At 36.1% G+C, this 19468-nt stretch overlaps 1 protein-coding gene across 9 annotated transcripts in view; it reads left to right on the top strand.

Annotated features, from left to right (window-relative positions):
• THEMIS (thymocyte selection associated) overlaps positions 1-19468 on the top strand; it is a 221968-nt gene that overhangs the window by 184147 nt on the left and 18353 nt on the right. For all 9 annotated transcript variants that reach the window (XM_047418766.1, XM_047418764.1, NM_001318531.1 and 6 more), the window contains one exon: positions 14626-14761. In XM_047418766.1, the coding sequence (XP_047274722.1) occupies positions 14626-14761 (136 nt within the window). The remainder of the gene's footprint in view (positions 1-14625; positions 14762-19468) is intronic.

The following is a 19468-nucleotide window of genomic DNA, read 5'->3' as shown; positions in this document are numbered from 1 at the left end:
TTACCTGACTTCATCAACCGTTAACTCAGGACCAATTTTGCTTCATTCATATTCCTCATTCTTCGCCCCCATTGGATTTTTTGGAAAACAAAACAAAACAAATATCATTTCACATGATTTAATCAGCAAATTCTTCAGCAAATCCCTACTCTAAAATGTAGGGATTATTTAAAACAATATAGTGTCACACCTGAAAACTTATCAAGTAAAGATTCAAATCTGTATGGTTGTCTCATAAATGTTTTCTTACAGTCTCAATCAGGATCTACATAATGTGCATATGTTGCAATTGTTGATCTTTTAAAATCTTCTTTAATCTATAGGTTTCCTCCTATTTTTTTTCTCAATTTGTTGGAGAAACTGTATTTGTTTTATAGAGTTTACCACAGCATGAATGTTGCAGATTGTATTCCTACGGACACAAGTGAACAGGAGTAGAAATGATTTTCCTTTTGCCAGTTACATACAGCCACTCATGCAGAAACTGGAATTAACTGGTAATATTTTAATGCCCTTTGTTGTTTTCCAAACATCTCCTATTACTAGATTCCTTACACTTTATGGGATTTTCTTATTTATCCGTTTCTTTTCTGTTTACTACATGTCATATATACTAGATATAGTCTTTTCTAGACATCATGTGTTCTAGGATTGTTTTGTCTGTGAGCGGTCTTCCTCCCAAAACGTTCTTCTGTCTTATTTTCCTGAGAATTGACAGTTAAATCTTGAGGCCTGATAGATTCAGATTTGATATTTTAGGAAGATTACTCCATAGAGAGTGTGATGTATTTTCATCAGGAGTTACCTGAAGTCTGGTTGTTTCTTTCTTTCTCGTAAAGCTGGTACCTGTTTATAATCATTGTTAACTCAAAGTTAATGGGCAGTTGTGGCTACTGGATCTTGTTTTTACTTTCCAGAGACTGAGTGTCTCTGAGGCTGGAACCCCCACCTAGGGGTGCACAGTGGCACCCTTGATGTCAGCGAATTGTTAGGCTGCAGATTCAATGAACCTGGTTAAGTTCTTTGAACATTGTATTAACTAGTTTAAACAAAACCAAATCTCACAAGATGGACAAGCAATTTTTAGAATTACTGAAAACAACCTGCGGATTAAAGATCACTAGAAACAACATTAAGGAAGTGAAAACGCAAGGTACAAAGCAGAGGAAGCTATTTGCAAAATAGATAAGGGATACCAAAAAAAATTTGTGTTCAGAATATATAAAGAAATGTTATCAGTCAATACAAAAATACAAATAGCACAATAGACAAAGTGGGCAAAAACTCAAATAGTTACTTCACAAATTAGGTATTTCACAATAAGTACTTCCAATGAGCAATATAACATTGAAAAGTTATTTAATCTCATCAGTCATCTGGGAAATGCAAATTAAACCAATGAGGAGATAACACGAACAACACCAAATCCACTAGAATGGTTAAATAGACTGAGAGTACCAAGTCTTAGCAAGAATATGGAGAAACTGCTACTTCACATACCCGTGTAGAGAGTGTATTACTCTGGGAAACTGCAGGCTCTACTATAGCTGTCATGTGACCCAGCACTGACATGTCTACAGCAACGTATTCATATGTGCACCGAATAGAAATGTGTGACACGTGCACAAAAAGACATGAACAGGAATATTCACAACAGCATTATTTGTAACAGCTAATACTTGGAAATTACTCAAATATTCTTCAGTAGTAGAGTAAGTAAATGCATTTTGGTTTATCCATACAATGGAATGATGCTATGGATATAAAGAAGGAAGCCAGACACAAAAGAATATGTTATATGATTCAAAGCATACAAAGTTCCCAAATGGGGAGAAAATTAAACTATGATACTAGGTGTCAGAATGAGGGCTAGCTTTGGGGGAAAGGCACTGGAAATGTGATTAGGTTGAGGCATGAAGGAGCTGCTGGGATTACTAATATTCTATTTCCAGATCTGGGTAATGGTTGCATGGTACATTCAATTTATATCAAGTCATTGAGCTGTGTCCTTAGTATTTGTGCATTTCATGAAAGTATTATATACTATTGTAAATAAAATATTGTACTTATAAGCAAAAGAGAACCATTTTTAAAAACCTGACAGTTTTCACACTTCTGGTATTAGGAGGAAAAAAATACAGATGAATGAACCATACCCATCAAAATGTAAGGCAAAAATTTGAAATCCTAAAAATGATTGAAATGAAAATTTACAAACACTCATAGTGACAAAAAACTTCGCCATGTTATGTGATATTAGCCACTGGGAAAATGAAACCATAATGATTAACAATATATTTTAAAACTGAGCAACGAGAATATGAAGATACTTGTCTATAGTTTTTCAGCACTGTATAAAATTATGGTATACTCAATCCAATACTGCGTAACATTTAAGATTCACCAAAATTAATGTTAACTCTTACGAGTTAAAAAAAAAAATGGCCAGGCAAGGTGGCTCACGCTTGTAACCCCAGCACTTTGGGAGGCCGAGGTGAGCGGATCATGAGGTCAGGAGATTGAGACCATCCTGGCTAACAGGGTGAAACCCCATCTCTACTAAAAAAAAAAAAAAAAAAAAAAATTAGCCGGGCATGGTGGCATGCACCTGTAATCCCAGCTACTCGGGAACCTGAGGCAGGAGAATCGCTTGAACCTGGCAAGCAGAGGTTGCAGTGAGCCAAGATCGCGCCGCTGCACTCTAGCCTGGGCGACAGAGCGAGACTCCATCTCAAAAAAAAAAAAAAAAAAAAAGTAGCAATAAAGAAAAAGCTACCTATTATGGAAGTACAATGGTTCTTCCAAAATACGGTGAAAATCACATGAACAATACGGTGACAAATTAGAACCTTTTTTTTTTTTTCTGAAAATGCCCTTGACAAATGCTTAGAAAAAAAAATGCCGAAGATTTCAATATGCTAATACATGTCACAGCTTAGAATAATGCCTGACACTTAGTAAGCACAAAATAAATGTTAGCTGTTATTATAGTTTGTATGAACAAATGACTCAGTTGAGGGAGATTTTTCTATAAGTTGCATGAGAGTTCTGTTTTTTTTTCCCCGACATATCTGTTTATTATATTTACGTGATTATGTTTCAATAATGAAATACACAAAGAAGCATTTTTTATGCATTGGAGAAGCCATTATTCTGTCCCTTAATGACTTCTTTAGTGAAAGCATTTCTTTATGGATAAGTTAAGTAAGTACAACCACTGATACAGTAGCTGCATTGTCCAGAATTTTTAAAGTGTTTCTTGAAAAAGCCTGGAAAAATAAATTCACATATGAAATCCCCAGTGTCATTATAGAAATGTTATTGCAGCAAAGAAATTATAACCAGAGGTTCACTGAATTCTGCAGGATGTACTAAATATGCCTAATTTATAGAAGCAAAGTTTTAAAAATACAGTGGGACCCTCATGATACTCTGTGAGAAGGGGAATGACTATGGCATTGTTTTGCATCATCTAAAAATTTGCTAATCATCTCATGAAAGAATACTTTTCACAAAATTAAAGATGTATTAGTATTAAGTTTTATTTTACGAAATGGTGAGCATTCAAATTTGCCTACCTCATCCAGGATAAGTGCCTGTTGGTAGCCAGGAACACACACATACACACTTGAGCTGGCCCTTTAGTTAAAAGATAAAAACATAACTTTAGTAAAAGAATCATTCTATGGAGAATATTTTGAAAATGGATTGTTTTGGAATATTTTTGATGTTATATGCTTTCATTGCTGAAAACAGTGTGCAACCTATGAAGCCTCTCATGTTGTAAACCTTAAAAACATGGAAGCAAAATTTCTGAATTTTGATAAAATCTTCCAAAGAATTGCAGTGAATTTTAAACTCAATAATAAAAACATTAAATGATTAAATATATTATCTCAAATCTTCCTTCTTTCCTTCCTCCTTCCCTCCCTCCCTTCCTTCTTTTTCATTTCTTTCTTTCTTTCTTCTTTCTGTCTCTTTCTCTTTCTTTCTTTCTTTCGTTTGTTCTCTTCCTGCCTCCCTCCCTCCCTCCCTTCTTTCCTTCCTTCCTTCCTTTTCTTTCTTTCTCTTTCTCTTCTCTTGTCTTCTCTTTTCTTCTCTTCTCTTCTTTTCTTTTCTTTTCTTTTTTTCTCTTTTCTTTTCTTTTCTTTTCTTTTCTTTTCTTTTCTTTATTTCCTATAGATACAGGGTCTGTCTCTGTTGCCCAGGCCTGGACTGCAGTGGCACAATCACAGCTCACTACAGCCTTGAACTCCTAGACTAAAGCAATCCTCCAGCCTCAGCTTCCTGAGTAGCTGGGACTACAGGCACCCACCACCACTCCTGGCTTTTTATTTATTTATTAGAAACAGGGGCTCACTATATTGCTCAGGCTTGTCTCAAACTCCTGGCCTGAAGTGATTCTCCTGCCTCAACTTCCCAAAGCGCAGGGATTACAGACATGAGCCACCATGCTCAGCCAGTTTATCTTTTAAAAATAATTTGACATCAAGGTAGATCAAAATGTATTAGCCATTTTTAACAAATCTTTGCAAAATTGGTAGATATTTTTGAAACCTATGCATCATGACTTAGAGTGATTAACAATATACTTTTCCTGTTTGGATCCATATACCTTTGTGGCATTTCATTTTCAGTGGTGACAGCCATGAAAACTCATTACTCGAATGAACTTAATTATAAAGCAAACAATTGAGGGAACAAAAGGAGCAGTAAGCGGATTGCTCTTGTTAAAGTTTGGCAGAAAAATGAATGAGGCAATGGAAGAGGAGAGTCGGAGAATACATGAGAGGTTGGAAGAATGATTGATTAAGTATGTCATGGGAAGAGTGGAAGAGAAAGGGTCATATTCCAAGGGGGAGGCACTCACATTGGAAAAAGGACTGGACATTTTGTGAGTCAGTAAGAAACAGAAGAAATCAAGTGTTGTTTCTAAGGAAAGAGGAGAGCTATGGGAATTGATTTCAGATGGCCACCATCTCAATGAATTAAGTGGTTGAGTAACATTCTAAAATGAGGAATGCTGGATTTCCACTGTGAGCTTTGATAAAAGAGAAAAAGGCTTGAAATATCTTCCATAGACCTCTCGAAAGGAAGGGAAGCAGAGATCCTTGGAAAAACTGAGCAACACTGAGGAACCACATGTCACCAGGTAACATGAATGTATGTCAGAAACAAGTAGAAAATTTCAAGTTTTTTTTTCTTTTAAACCAGCAATGAGCTTGCTACCTCTGGGGATGAGTGAAGAGAGAGAGAGAGAGAGAGAGAGAGAGAGAGAGAGAGAGAGAGAGAGAGAGAGAGAGAGAGAATAAATTGGTAAAGGGAGTAGAATGGAAATTGAGGATCTGATATCTGATAGCCACAGTGAGAAAGTTGTTAATATGCAGGTTTTAAAGCCTCTTGGATAGGGAAACAAGTGAGGCAAGGAAGAAGCCAATAGGTAAAAATAAATGAAAAAGTGAGAGGGGGGTTCAAGTGTATTTGAAGATACAAATGTAATCAAATAAAAAGATGTTTTTAATTCAGATCTTTGCTCAAATATAATGAAAAATCTTCTCATTTAAATCTTTGCTCAAATGTCAAACTATCTAAAATTGCAACCTTCTTGCCCTACTTTACCTTGTCTATCCGCTTCTCTGTTTCATTTTTTTCCATTGAACTCATTCTATGTATTTTCCTGATGTATTTGTTATTGGTTCTTCCTCCCGGCCACCTCACCCCCAATCCCAACTCACACACACAGGATGTAAACACAAGGAGGGCAGGGAATTCTTTGCCTCTTCTTTCTTAGTACCATATCCCCAATACCTTTACCTTTGCATAGTTGTTGCTCATTGCATACTTGCTGAATTAATGACTGATCATACAACAATGGAAAGGGAATGAGTTGGTATAAATTAACTAAATATTTATCTTTTATGTTAATATTTGAAAGCTAGTAATTTAAGCTGGTAAGTCACGATGTGCAAAGCAAGTGTTACAGATGTAGCCTCCAGCAAAACTAAAAAGCAGAAATAGTAAGAAAGAAGTTGCTTTGGGGGATTGGAAATATTGGGACAAGAGGCTTTTGCTTTCCCTTCTAACTCTTCTGCACTGTTTGATTTATTACAACGTGAATGTATTGCTTTTGATGAAAAATAAAACCAAAACAACGCCCCCAAAAAATAAGACCTAGAGGGAAGAGCAGTGTTAGAAGCAGCAAGTGAGAGCACAGAGGAGAGTGTTAGAATCCAAGATCGTGAGGATGGAGAAATTCTGACGAACAATGAGGTCCATGTTCTGATTGTACTTACAAGAGGCTAAAAAAGACTAAAAAGAAGTTCAACAGTGGTGTGAATATTAAGGTCTGTTGATGTCATGTTTGGAGAGGGAAAGCAAACAGGATAACATGAGCTAGAGGCCATTCTGAGCAAAATGGAGAGGGATCCTGAAGATGAAGAGCCATGCCTGGATCTATAGAAATTTCAAAAAAGTGTTGGTTGGTGGTGCCAGACAATGCTCCTTAAAAGAGGGATCAGAAATAGAGCTTGTGAATTAGAGGAGGTCAGAAGAGCAGCCTTTTATGGGAAGGGGTTTCAAAGAAATGGTGCCAGGCTTAAGTTGAGCTGAGGAGATAGAAAGCAGGCTCCAAGGACCACATCCTATGTGGGGCACCTATTCACAACAGAGCATGCATTTTATATTTTAGCAACACTTTGGTAGCAAGAATGCCATTTGATAATTTATATACAGTAATTTGAAGGCTTGAAGAAATAGTGAGATGAGTCATACTCATCAAAATCATTTCTAGCTCAAATAATAATACAGCAATGTTTTAAATCAGATTGCCAGGACATTTACCTTTTAAAGACTCATGTGAAAGCCTGTATTTTAATACTCAGAAGGCTAAGATGATTTCAAAGGTAATTTTTAATAAATGAGTTGAGAATAATTTTCCTAGATACAGACAGACCTATTATAAAGTACACCACAGTTCCCATCTGTCATCTGCAGCAACTGTCGCCCTGCTGGACACTGTTCAAATGCTATTCATATGTCCACTAATTCAAAACTAATTTCACCAAAAGCTCATCTAACAAAAAATGTGTCACATAGTTGATTCCACTGTAATTTCTGTTTTCATAATTTAAAATAAGATTAATTTTCCTGCCCTTTGGCTACAGATTACACTTACAGACTCTAAGAGTTATGATTTCCCATTAAAATAGGAGCTATGAAAGTTATGACAATAATCATGCAAATTAATTACTTCCAAATTTTCAGGAAGACAAAATAAGGAAGAAGATTTATCTCTACACAAAGAGCTACTCCAGTGTGCATTACATCAGCATTTTGAGTAAGCCAACTTTGGCATTTTGAAGAGGAGGCACTTGCCATAGCGTCTCTAAAATCGCAAATTATTTTGCATGATTGTCCAATATCTGGAGTGACAAGGCTGACATCTTTGAGAGTAGAAGGAATTTTTATCTCCTTAAAATGCAATTATTAAGAATAATAATTGTACAGATTAGCTGTCTATTCAGACCTCATTTTAAAGTAAGAAGTGTTTGCTAAGCCTTGCTTCAAATCTTCATTTCGTCTTTGGCTAAATTCACAGAACGTTAGAGTAGCAAGAAGCACATTGATTTGAGCTTGATGGAAGTATGTGAAGAGGTTCTCCACCTAAGTATTGTAGATGAAAATTCTTCAACTCATTTCAATCAAAGTATGTGATTATATTGAGTTCTTCCCGCATCCATGAACTAGTATTTGATTTTTTCCAAGAGTGTGATTAAATCAACATAAATCAAGATGGTGGGACTTCTAGATATCAAATTACCTAGATCCCAGTTTTCATCAGGGAAAATAGAGGAAGATGCAAGTGAAATCTATATCTGAAATATGAGTACTGTTAATCTCTTACTTTAATGCTTGACATATTCTTGAAACATATCTTGAAAGTGAAGTATAAAATAATCTTAATAGTAATGAAGAATTTCTTTCCCACAGGACACAGTAAGATCTTTGATATATGATATGTGAGATGATTTCTAATCAGTTACAGCAAGGGTGGTTTTTCTTGGGTCTAGTCCCAGCCAGTCCAGGAAGAAGAAGAGGTCTTTGTAGGATTGAGATGGGGTGCTGTCTTCTCTTATTAGAGCAACTAGGGAAATAGATTCAGGCATCTTTCTTTTCCATAGGGCTACTGTCTGTCCTCCGACCCAAGAAAAGTTCAGGGTAGATACCAACTCTTTTAAATGTCTGACTTTCTGGAGGTACTTGGAATAAGCACAAAAGAAAGATTCTGTCCCTCTTGTTAACCACTATTGGGCCCAAGAATGTCTTAGTGTCAAGCCACTTGCAAACACCTGTGACTGCTGGTGAAGTTCCTGATCAACTGCCAGCCCAGACCAAGCCAGCAAGGTCACATTTGAATAAGAAGGTGTGAATGGTCCAGGGAGGAGGAGCACTAACAAAGGAGGGTAAGTGATGCCAGCAAGGACTCTCACCTGGGAAGGTCACAGCTTAAAGCTCCAGGAGGAGCAGAAAAGGGGAAATGAGCTTCTGATGAGCTGATGAACCAAGTCCTGCCAAACACAGGCTTGAGCAAACCCTCTGTAAACAACGTAAGGCTGCAAGGTACAGGAAAGGGTCAAAAGATAGCATGTCTTTGGGATAGGGCTGAACAAGCTCAGAAGCATCTCTTTGAATTGGTATAAAGAAGACATTCTGTGCAGAAAGGGCAGTTTGAGTATGTATGGATCATTGTAGAAAACCTCAGAATATTGCCCAAAAGAAATGACTGTCTATATGGATGATCAGTTTTAGATTATTTTTCACAGTTTACATTCTTGCTTTTTAAAAAAATATTTGCCTCTATCATATTATGGACCTTTATAATGCACAATGATGAATTAATTAGTTTTTATAAAAAACACTTGATCATCTTCTAAATTATTTATGGTGATTCAACTATATAACAAACAGAAGAGAACACACTCACAGACACACACACACAGACACACACACACACACACAGTAGGAGACAGATTACATACAGAATGCATTTCTACAATGATAATTTGCATATTCCCAGCAAGCCTGTATTTGATGTGATTCGATTTTTATTCTCTTTTATTTATGTATAGTCTCTGAATTATTGTCATTGTTCTTATTTTAAGTAGAATTTAATTCTCTGGAAGAAAGTTAGTTAATGAGAGATTTCTTCTCAAATATCACTTGAAATTTCTTCACTTAAGTGTACTTTCTGAAGTGAAAAAGTACAGGCAGTGGAAAGTAGCAGTGTTTATATAAGCAGAGAGGGAGGTTGCTTTTTTTAGTCAGGAGAGGATTGATTTTTTTACAAAGTAAAAAGTAAAGTACATTATCTAGGATACTTCAAGTTGCTTTAAATATGAGTGATGTTTAGTCCCTGGCTAAGAGAGGTCCTTTGTAGCTCTCTAAAGAAAAACAAGCCCATTTGCCCTTGGGGAGAAGGGGCACAAATAAATACAATCATGAACTAGGAATCTGAATAAATTGAAAAAGTATGATTTTATTCAACGGCATGGCCTTAGGTATGAGATGAAAGATAGATTTGAAGAGCTCTTTCCAATTTTTTTTTGTGGACATCTTGGTTAACTTTTTTTGGTAATATTTATTTGTTCCTTTCTTTGTTTGTGAGACAAATATTCAGTACATTATAATTTCATCATTACCTTTAGCAGGAACATTAAAAACAACATGCAAAATACAAGCCAAGAATAACATAAAAATAATTTAATAGTCATTTCAAATTAGCAGACAGGATTGTAATGATTCATTTCTAATAACAAGTTAAATGGAAATTACATAGAATAAACAGAACCTTATTTTTTGAAGTACGACTACAGCGTGGTCACAGAGGACTGATGCATGGCAGTTCAAATTTATCTATGTTCCTCTCCATTCTTTGCAAACATTTTAATTTCTCATTTTCCTCTGGACCCAACCTTCAGGTTGAAGACTTGACATCACAGAAGCAGGATCTGACAGAGGATTTTATTTCTCCAGTTGTTGTCAGGCCACATTCTCATGCCTAGGGTAATAGGGGCCACTGTGTTTACACACTTAGTTCTCAATTCTCACTTTCTCTAACATAACAATTCTCAGATTTATAACTTCCATAGATAGATGACCAATGTAATTTGATTCAGAGCTATATGGGATACTGTATGAATACAGTTCTGCATGATTTCTGTAATGAGTTTATTTAAAAGCACAGGATTTGAAATATGTGTTTTTTATGGATAAAACAAAGTAAAATGTAACTGCATTTTATCTACCAATATATAATGTAAGCAGTACTGTTAGGAGTGATGATATACACAAACTTGCTTATGCATGTGAGTGTGACTATATACTGGCCACTGATAACTGGCTAAAGAAAAAGTCATAAAAATTAAGTCATGTTTTATTCATGAATTTTCCTATTTATTTAATATGTAGTTATTTAATGCCTATTATATTTAAAACCCTGAGATGAGAGCTCAAGACAGTGAACAGGGCATGCATAGTTTTTACTTTCAGGGAGTTTTATTTTAGCCAGGGAGATAGACATTAAACATGAAAACAGCTATTATTTGATTGTAATTATAAAAATTGCATTATAGTAGAAGTACAAGGTGCACAAAGACTAGAAAATAGGGTGCTGGCTAAGGTTTATACAGTGAGTGACACTTGCAGGAACCCAGGACTTCTTAATATTAAGGGGGAAATTTTACTAAGAATGCCCTAGGCAAACAGAATAGCCAAGCCTTCAGACAGGAAGGAAGAGTGATGAGATTGTGGACCTGAAAGGACATTAGAATTAGAGTCCAGAGTGCTTACTAAGGCATGCAAGCTCCTGCCTCTCTACACCTCATCTCATTTCATAAATCTCTACCTCCCCGCTGGAGTCATAAACATACAGGTGGTAGATCAAGCTACATGATTGCTGAAATTATCTAGGAATGGAAAAAAGAAAACTGGGAGAATAACAGAACCTTGAGACCTCTTGACACGCAATGTTTGGGTAAAGAAGGATACTCCAGCAAAGGAGACTAAGAATAAGCACTCAGAGTGGAAGGAGGAACATCAGAAACCAAAAGAAGGAGGTGACCAGACATGTCAGATGCTGCTGAGAGGTAAAACAAGTTGAAGTCTGGCAGGTAAAACAAGTTGAAGTCTTCCAGATTGAAGTTTCTGAGCAGCAATGGATGCTGGACAGAGAATAAAGGAAAAAGAGCAAAGGGGTGATGGATATAGAGAAAGTAGAGGGATCAGTGGATCTCAGATCCCAGTGAGGTCCACAAATAGCCTTGGCAGAAACTGTGGAAAAAGCAGTCTTGGAGAAGGAGATTTGGCTGGAGTGGAGAGAATAAACTTGAGGATAGGAGATGAAGAGAAAGAGGAACATACTTAATATTGGAGGTGGAAACATTTCAGCTGATGATAGACTTCAGATGTGATCTTGGGACTGAAAGCATGAGGTAGAAAAAATGAGAAGTTCATTTGTAGTAAGGAGATCCAGGGATGAATCAGACAGAATGTTTATGTAGATATGGATATTGTCCAAGATCATAGCGATGCTGAGGCTAGAAAAGACAAAAGTCTGGGTGTCAAAGCCTTTTTATGAAAAATGCATGGATATTAGTAGATAGATGATACCAACAAGAAGGGAGACGGCACACAGTTAGACGACAGGAATATCAAAGTAGCAGACATGTTTTGCAAGGAGGTAAGGTTGCAACGGACAACACTCAGAGAAGGGGATCCTCCAACTTAAGGGTAACAGGGATGAGGAAGAATAAGCAGGCAGTATCATTCACAGAAGAAGAGGTGTCTTCAAAGAAGAATGAGATTTTCGTCAGGGTAAGAAGGTAGAGACAATATTCAGAAAAGAAGTTGAACAGGTAGTGAAGTTTGCAAACCATAAAGCAAAGTTATCAAGGCATGGTGGAAGAATTTGAGAAATAGGAAAGGGGAGAGGGAAGAGAGAGAATTGAGGGTTAGTGGAGGGCAGTTGGGCAATTAAGAATGAAACACTGTAGGAATTTTATTGTAGCAGAAAAGAGATGCCAGGGTATAATGTGCAGACCCAGGGAACTAGAAGGAGGGGCTAAGTAAACAAGGAAGAGCGAGTGTGGCAAGGTCAGCAACTTAAGAGACACCTACCTCCCTTTACGTTAGGACCTGGGAACAGCAGCCTGGCTATAATATGTAATGTAAAAGAGAAGCTGGAAAATCTGACAGGGGTTGCTTAAGAAGAGACTCCACTGTGGGAACTGTTTCCAGGAAAATGAGGCTCTTAATTACTGAAACACTAATATGTTTATAAAATGTCCAGTGTGCCAGAGGTTTGCACCAGGAAGCACAGAACCTTTACAATACAGAACCTATTCTGATGAAGGGGCTATTTTCTCTCTCAGGTTTTCACAACAATCCTTTTATGAGTAAATAAACTCAGCATTTCTTTTATTTTCAGTCTGGAATATATTAGAATATACACAACTTGCATGAATTCTTAACTTTCCCTCAATGTTTTAATATTTTCAATTGAATTTGGTATGAACAAACATGAAGCTTATTCCTTCTTTGATCTATTGCATTGCTCAGTTCTGAGAAACTGTGATTTAATACTCATGTCATAACTTGAAATAATAATATACTTTTCAAAGGTATGTAATTCAGAATCAGGAAAGTAGTTGGATGCTGAAATCTGCTTCTTTCCAAAAACTACATGATAATAGAGGCCTGACAATAAATTTTAAAAATTACAGTGATGGGCTTATATTTTTGTGGACTGTGGAGGAGCTAAAAATAAACAAGTGGGGTGGTTTAGTTCTAGTTGATACCAACATCCAAACTGATCTTTTGAGCTGTCTTTTGTAGTATTGCTAGGATCCCTTCCTTGGTCATTAGAAAAGGAATTGAGAAATATCTACAAATGACTTACCACACTCTATTTTAATTATCTGCATAAGCAATGTAAGAAATTGTGTTTGAATAATTTGGAGTCTGAGAGAATGTCATGTTATATTTGTATTCTCACACCACATCCATTATCTGGGATACTATAGATAGACGGTGGTTGAATGTACCAGTTATCCGTCAGCATACAATGCTGCATAACCACCAGAAAAACATAATGGCATACAACCAAAATCACATTCATTTAGTTCATGAAGCTGTGGAATTCATCTGACTTGAGCTGGTCTCAGATGATCTAGACTGGTTTCACCCAAACGTCTGGGGCTCCTCTGGCTGTTGTTTGCTTCAGCTTGGACAACTGGGGTGACCTAACTCTGCCCATCTCATGTTCAATCTGCAGCCAGCTAGTCTAGGCATAGCCTCATGGCATAGTGGAAGTTAAGGAATGAGCAAAAACAATTGTGCAAGCCTCTTTCAAGCCTCTGTGTCAATATCCTATTGGGCCAGAAGAAGCCACATTGATAGGCCAAAAGTCAGAGTAGGAGGGCCCTGCAAAATTCTATAGAAAGGACATGGATACAGAGATGGGTGAAGAATGAGGGCTATCCATACATCCAGTCCACCACATTAAAAATCTTAAGAAATCAATCATGAAGAACACTGTCCAAAGTTCAGGATTCATATCGTAAGGCTCAGCACTGTTCATTTTGTTAACTCAAGTGAATTATTTAATCATTCTAAAGCCTAATTTCCTTATTGGCCTTTCTCAAGCTTTAAAAGTGGTTGATTTTATAAAATCAAGCTTTTAATGAATTTCATGCAATATATGGTCTACAGGAGAAACTTTACAGGAAAGTTGTCCATTATACTATCCTTTAGTGAGCCAACATGGCTAGCCTGAATGGCCATAATTGATTAGCTAATATTTACGCTGAGAATCTTCACATATTCTGTAATCTTATTCAATTTGACAAACTTCTAGTCTGGACTTGGGTATGAATTAATTAAGTACTGGAAGTTTAATTTCCAATTGAAGTCTTCACTTTTTGTTCCCATCTGATGATTCTTTGAAGCATACAGTGTGTCAGTATAATGTCAAATGCTGTGACATCTCTTACATGTGAGATGAGTTATAGGGACCATTGATGCTGTGCCTTAATAATTCATTGTTATGATGAATTATTACTCTGAAATTGACTAAAGGAGCTTTGTCAAATTTGCATAATGCTGATTAAAAATGTGGTTTAATTTATAGTAGATGTTATGATTTGTTTTATATAAAGAGTACAGATGATACAGAAATGAAATCTGCTTTTGATTATATAATATGTAATTATGTAATATATAATGAAGTGCTGGATTAGTTAACTATAATAATAAAAACTAAGTAAAAATTTTCTAAATGAAAAATATTTTATAAGCTTCACAAGAAGAAAGTAATATACACAAATAGTCTTTGCAGATGGTTTTCTATGCCTAAAATGACTTCTTATTCTAGTTACTTAGATTGCTTCAAAAATTGTACACCTCAGTTTCCAAAATATATTGATGAACATATAATTTGTAGCTTGCTTTGACATGTCAAATGTTCTGTTTCAGACATACAGAAATGAATTGCCATGTGATAAATCTTTCATATCTCTATGAAGCATTTATTTTGGACTGATAATTTACTTGTGACCTGTGTCATTTCAGCGTCATCACGTAGACATAACCAAGAAACTTCACCCAAATCAAGCTGGCCTGGATTCAAAAGTACTGATTGGTAGTCAGAATGATTTGGTGGATGAAGAGAAAGAAAGGAGCAACCGTGGGGCCACAGCAATAGCAGGTACTGATGTGACTATAGGTCAGTTAAACCACGGTGGTTTAACTGTCCACATGACAAAGGTGCAATGGACAGATTCTTACTATTATTTTATTTGGAATATATGACTCAGCCCAAGTGATCACCCTGCTCTGCCAATCACATTGAAATGAAGATTTATGTGAAGCATGATATTGAACACTCACAATAATAATAGTAATGTTTATTGTTTTCCACTATTAGATTTTTCACCTCATTTATGGTTTTCATGGCAATGAAATATTTCAAGATTACTTGTATTGTTGTGATAATAATATTTTTGCTGGAACAATGAACAAGAAGAATTACTGTCTTGAAAAGAGGTTAAAATAATTGAGATGTTTTAAATTTAAAGAAGCGTCAGATAAGTCACTGAATGCAAGCTTGAATTATGATGGTTTAGTTTATAGAGATTGTGATCTGATATTTTTCATCTCTACTGAGTGCAAAACAAAAGCAAACGGACTTGTGGAGGAGTTGATAGCATTCAATTAAGCTACCCAGACTAACTTCCATATGGCAGAAATTTGGGATGAGCTAGCAAGGGAAATAAGAAGTTTGTTTCTTGCCAATATTTTAGACACACCAAACCCCCTCAATTTCTATTACACTTTATCTTTGAAACTTCACATTTAGTTCATACAAAAATTGAAACTGTAATTATTCTTAAGCATACGGTTTGCTCCTTTCTCCTCCTTATTTGGTTTTGTAGCTAGCATGCTTTCTTCTCCAAGGACATATAAAAGTCAAAATACTAGATAAAGTCTCTGAAGTGTTTCTGCTCCAAACCCTGTCTGCACAATCTGGGTTCTTTCATGTAGTTAGCTTACTGGCTTCTGACACTCCTATAAAAAAGTCCCATAGAGCTTTTCTTATTACCTTTTCATTGACTCTCTCCGAGAGAGAAAAATGAAATTCTGTAAAGGGCTTTGAAAATCACGCATATTGCAATTCCTCCAAATTTCTAATACTAATCAAGTATGACTATAAAAGAAACAACCACTGCAGTGAAAATTGCTGCAGCGCATTGAGTCTCAAGCCATTATTAATTCATTGGAACTTGTTTTTCTTTCTTTCTTTAAGATTGTGGATTCTAAAAAGTACCAGATAACACAATTCCTGAGATCAAAGTTTTTGTTTCAATCAGAGGGAAACATTATCTAATCTTCTCTTGTATGTGAATCTTTCTGGGATGGTACAGCAGTAGTCCCAGCTTTGTGCCTTGAGTGAGTAGTACAGCGTATGTTACAGACCAGAGCAGCACCTGCTTTGAACGTATTACTTGTAAGTGATGATTTTAGGGACAAAGATGACCTGGAATTAAAGCAGTGGTTCTAGGCAAGTGAGACCCCCTAACTTCATTCAAGAGAGTAAAATGGAATCTCCTTTCCTAGATCAATTTGATTTTAACATGCATTTATTTAGAAATTACCCAGTATGAACATCTTGGCAATATTTTTATTTGCTTTCCCATTTGTAAATGCAATAATTACAGTATTTCTTCCTTATGGATTATAATTGTGTGATAATTCTATATATAAAAATACAAAAGTAGAGCAAAAATATAATTTTTCAAACTTTATTTTCATCTTATATAATATAGTATATGTTCTTCATTTCCAAAAAAAAGACTCACTGGAGCCATACTTAACATTTACCATACTTCATATGGATAGCTCATGGAATATGTAGTAGCCTTCTTTGAGTTCAGGATGGGTAGAGCAGGCCTTTTCTGAGCTTTCTCCTCTTTCTAATGCTTAGACATAAGTCAGTCATTTCCTAAATTCTCTTTGACGAGAGTAACAGTTGCAGAGACTTTGTAGCATATCACTGACTTAAAAAAAAAAAAAGCCTAATTAAGATAGGGGTGCTGCTTTGCTTTTCTAATGTTGCTCTTTCAGGATACCCAGACCTAATTCTTTCAGTTACATGGGGTGGAACCTTTTCAAATATGTATCTAATAATTGTACTAAGGAAACTAGTTATCTTGGTATTCAATGTCAACAACTGAAATTTTGCTGTGAATGACTGAACACGAATTGTGTAATAAGACTCTATTCCAGCCAAGAGTACGGTAAAACCTCACTCAGGATCAGTGCTGTCAGCCACTGATGTCTTCACTAAGAAACTGATGAAAACATTTCACCAGATTCTAGATGACCTTCTTCTGTGGGTCCTTGATTCACTCTTGTTGCTTAGTGATGCCCATGCCTTATTTTAAGAACATTATTATTAATTCTACATGTTATTTTATCCATAAATTACTTAAAAAAAAGTTCTCTGAAAGTAGGATGATTAAGTGATAGAATGATAAAGTGCAGACCTTCAGAGGCTGAACTGAGATTTCTGGGTTTACATTTTGGCTCCCCCATTAGGTAGCTATATACCATGAGCAATTAGTTATTTAAGACTATTCCTTTATTTGTAAAATTGAGTTACTAGTAGTGCTATACCATGTGCTTTTTTTTTTTGAAGATTATATTAGATCAAATAGGTAAAAGTTAGTAGAGTACATAATAAGCTACAATGAAGTCAGGCTATAATAATTAACTACTGAATCTTTATGAATTGATTGCTAAGGAAAACTTTGTTTTCCTATGATACGCTCTGTAAATTGCTGGCTGTGGCGACTTGATGTTATGGATCTTTCAGTCTCTGAGTTTCTGTCTGCATTTTTTGCCTTTGAGAGCAGTATGCTCTTGGAAATGTTATAGCCTTTGTGAATGCTATGAACATGGAGGGGGTGAGAAACCCTTTTTGATGATGTCACTGATTCCTCAGAGTAAAAGAAACACTCCAATTGTGTAGAGACATGGATGCCCTGACGCTCTCTAATGGACTCTTTCCCCATCTTACTTCAGCAGCAATAGCTAAGGAGGAACACAGGGCTTCAATGTTTATTCAGCTTAAGGTCTATTTTTAGTAATAACATGTGTTAAGTGGAAATGTTTTCATTGAACTATTTGTTGCATCCAGTTCCCTGGGTTGATTTACATGTGGAAAGTTGATTGGAAAGTGCTCCCAGGAACAGCGCTTGAGGCAGAGTCCCAGAAGCAGGTCTGGGCAGAGGGAAAAATTGAATCATGATACAGTCACAACAAAGACCTCAACTGATCCCATAGGGAGATCTGGAGCTGGCATGGTTCTTCAGGGTTGTCCTGAATTAGGGGGTGGGGAACAGACCTTTATACCCCCTGCATCAAACAATCATTGGATGCAGCTGTCCCTGAGAAGGGTCTATGGTTATGGGCAATGTGGCTTTTTTTCAGCCAAGGGCGCAGCCATTTGGTACAAGAGGATGATTATTTAGTTCTGAGGAGGATCTGATTATTATGTGGGTCACTCATTAATTGCTGCCATTGCTTCCGGTTATCTTCCTGGCTAAACAGGGGGCCATTTTCCTTTTTCTTCCTTATGTCTCTCTAGAAACTCAAATCACTGCCAGGAAGGATGACCTTTTAAATATGCTTATTTGTTTTTGTCCTACATAAACATAAATGTTTTCTAATAAGCAAATGTTATACTCTCCTGATCCATATTTTCTAATGTAATTTTCTTCCTATTGTAGCTTTGACTATGTTCTTCGAATTTTCCCTACAACTTTACACTAAATCTGTGTCACTGCTTGTCCTTCATAAATTAGACTAGTCAAGTAGTAAGACAAACCCTGGGCTAGAAAATGAAACCCAAGGCACTCCAAGTTTGAGTCCCAGTTCTGCCACAACCTAGATGCATAGCATTTCAGAAGCCATTTCATTTCTCTGAGCTTGACTTTCTCCATCAAAATAGTGGGTATACCAGATAATCTGTATGCCCTGTCAGTTCTGAAAGCCTGTGATCCTCTGGCTTACTCTGAGTTAGAACATTGAAACTGTTGGACTCAAATGGTCTTATTTCTAAGTGAGACTCACATACAGGTGATTCACCCTGTCTAAGATCCTACTTAGTTTGGGAATTTAAACAGGTCAGAAAAAAACAAACTCCCTGGGAAAGCTCTCCTCTTAGGCCAAGGTGGAAGCTAGAGAATAAAGAATTATTCTGTAGCTTTAGTTTAATCTAAATGTTTAGTGTAAACCTCAGATCCTATTTGTATCGTGGAAAATAAAACCTAAGTAGTTTCCTATCAGGACCATTTTGAGGATTAGACAAGTCAGAGGTTCTATATTAAAGACCTTAATTGAAAGGCTGATTATATGGGATCAAGAGTTAGGTAGTTTAGATCATAAAGCACATTGTTGTTTCTTAATTTTAATGAAGAAACACCTCAATAATTCAATGTTATTCTAAGTAGTGTTCTAAGTGCAAAAATTACTTTTATTCCAAAGTCTAGAAAACCTGTTATTTAAAATATCGTATAATTTTTAACCAATGATTTAAAAATCTGTCCTTTCATCTTTATATTTAACATCAATGTAGATTTCTTATAATATAAACAGAATAACGATATTAGTAGAATTTATTTTACACTTCTAGATAAGGCTATTTTAGTTTGGAAATACTGACACCCTAAAGAAAAATGTTATAGGATTGCTCTTCATTTTATAGCAACCTATCTCCCTCTTCTCAGAAGATTTAAATGTTTAAGAATGTGCTGCAAGGAGAACCCACAGTCATTTCATTCTTTGAACAATTCTGAAATATCATTTCCTATTAGGAAGTTGTGTGAGCACTGACAACCTGGCCCCTCTTCTT

Source organism: Homo sapiens, chromosome 6, assembly GCF_000001405.40.
Source record: "Homo sapiens chromosome 6, GRCh38.p14 Primary Assembly".
NCBI lineage: Eukaryota > Metazoa > Chordata > Mammalia > Primates > Hominidae > Homo > Homo sapiens.
The sequence above is the reverse complement of the archived record's forward strand: the minus strand, read 5'-3'. Positions and strand labels throughout refer to the sequence as shown.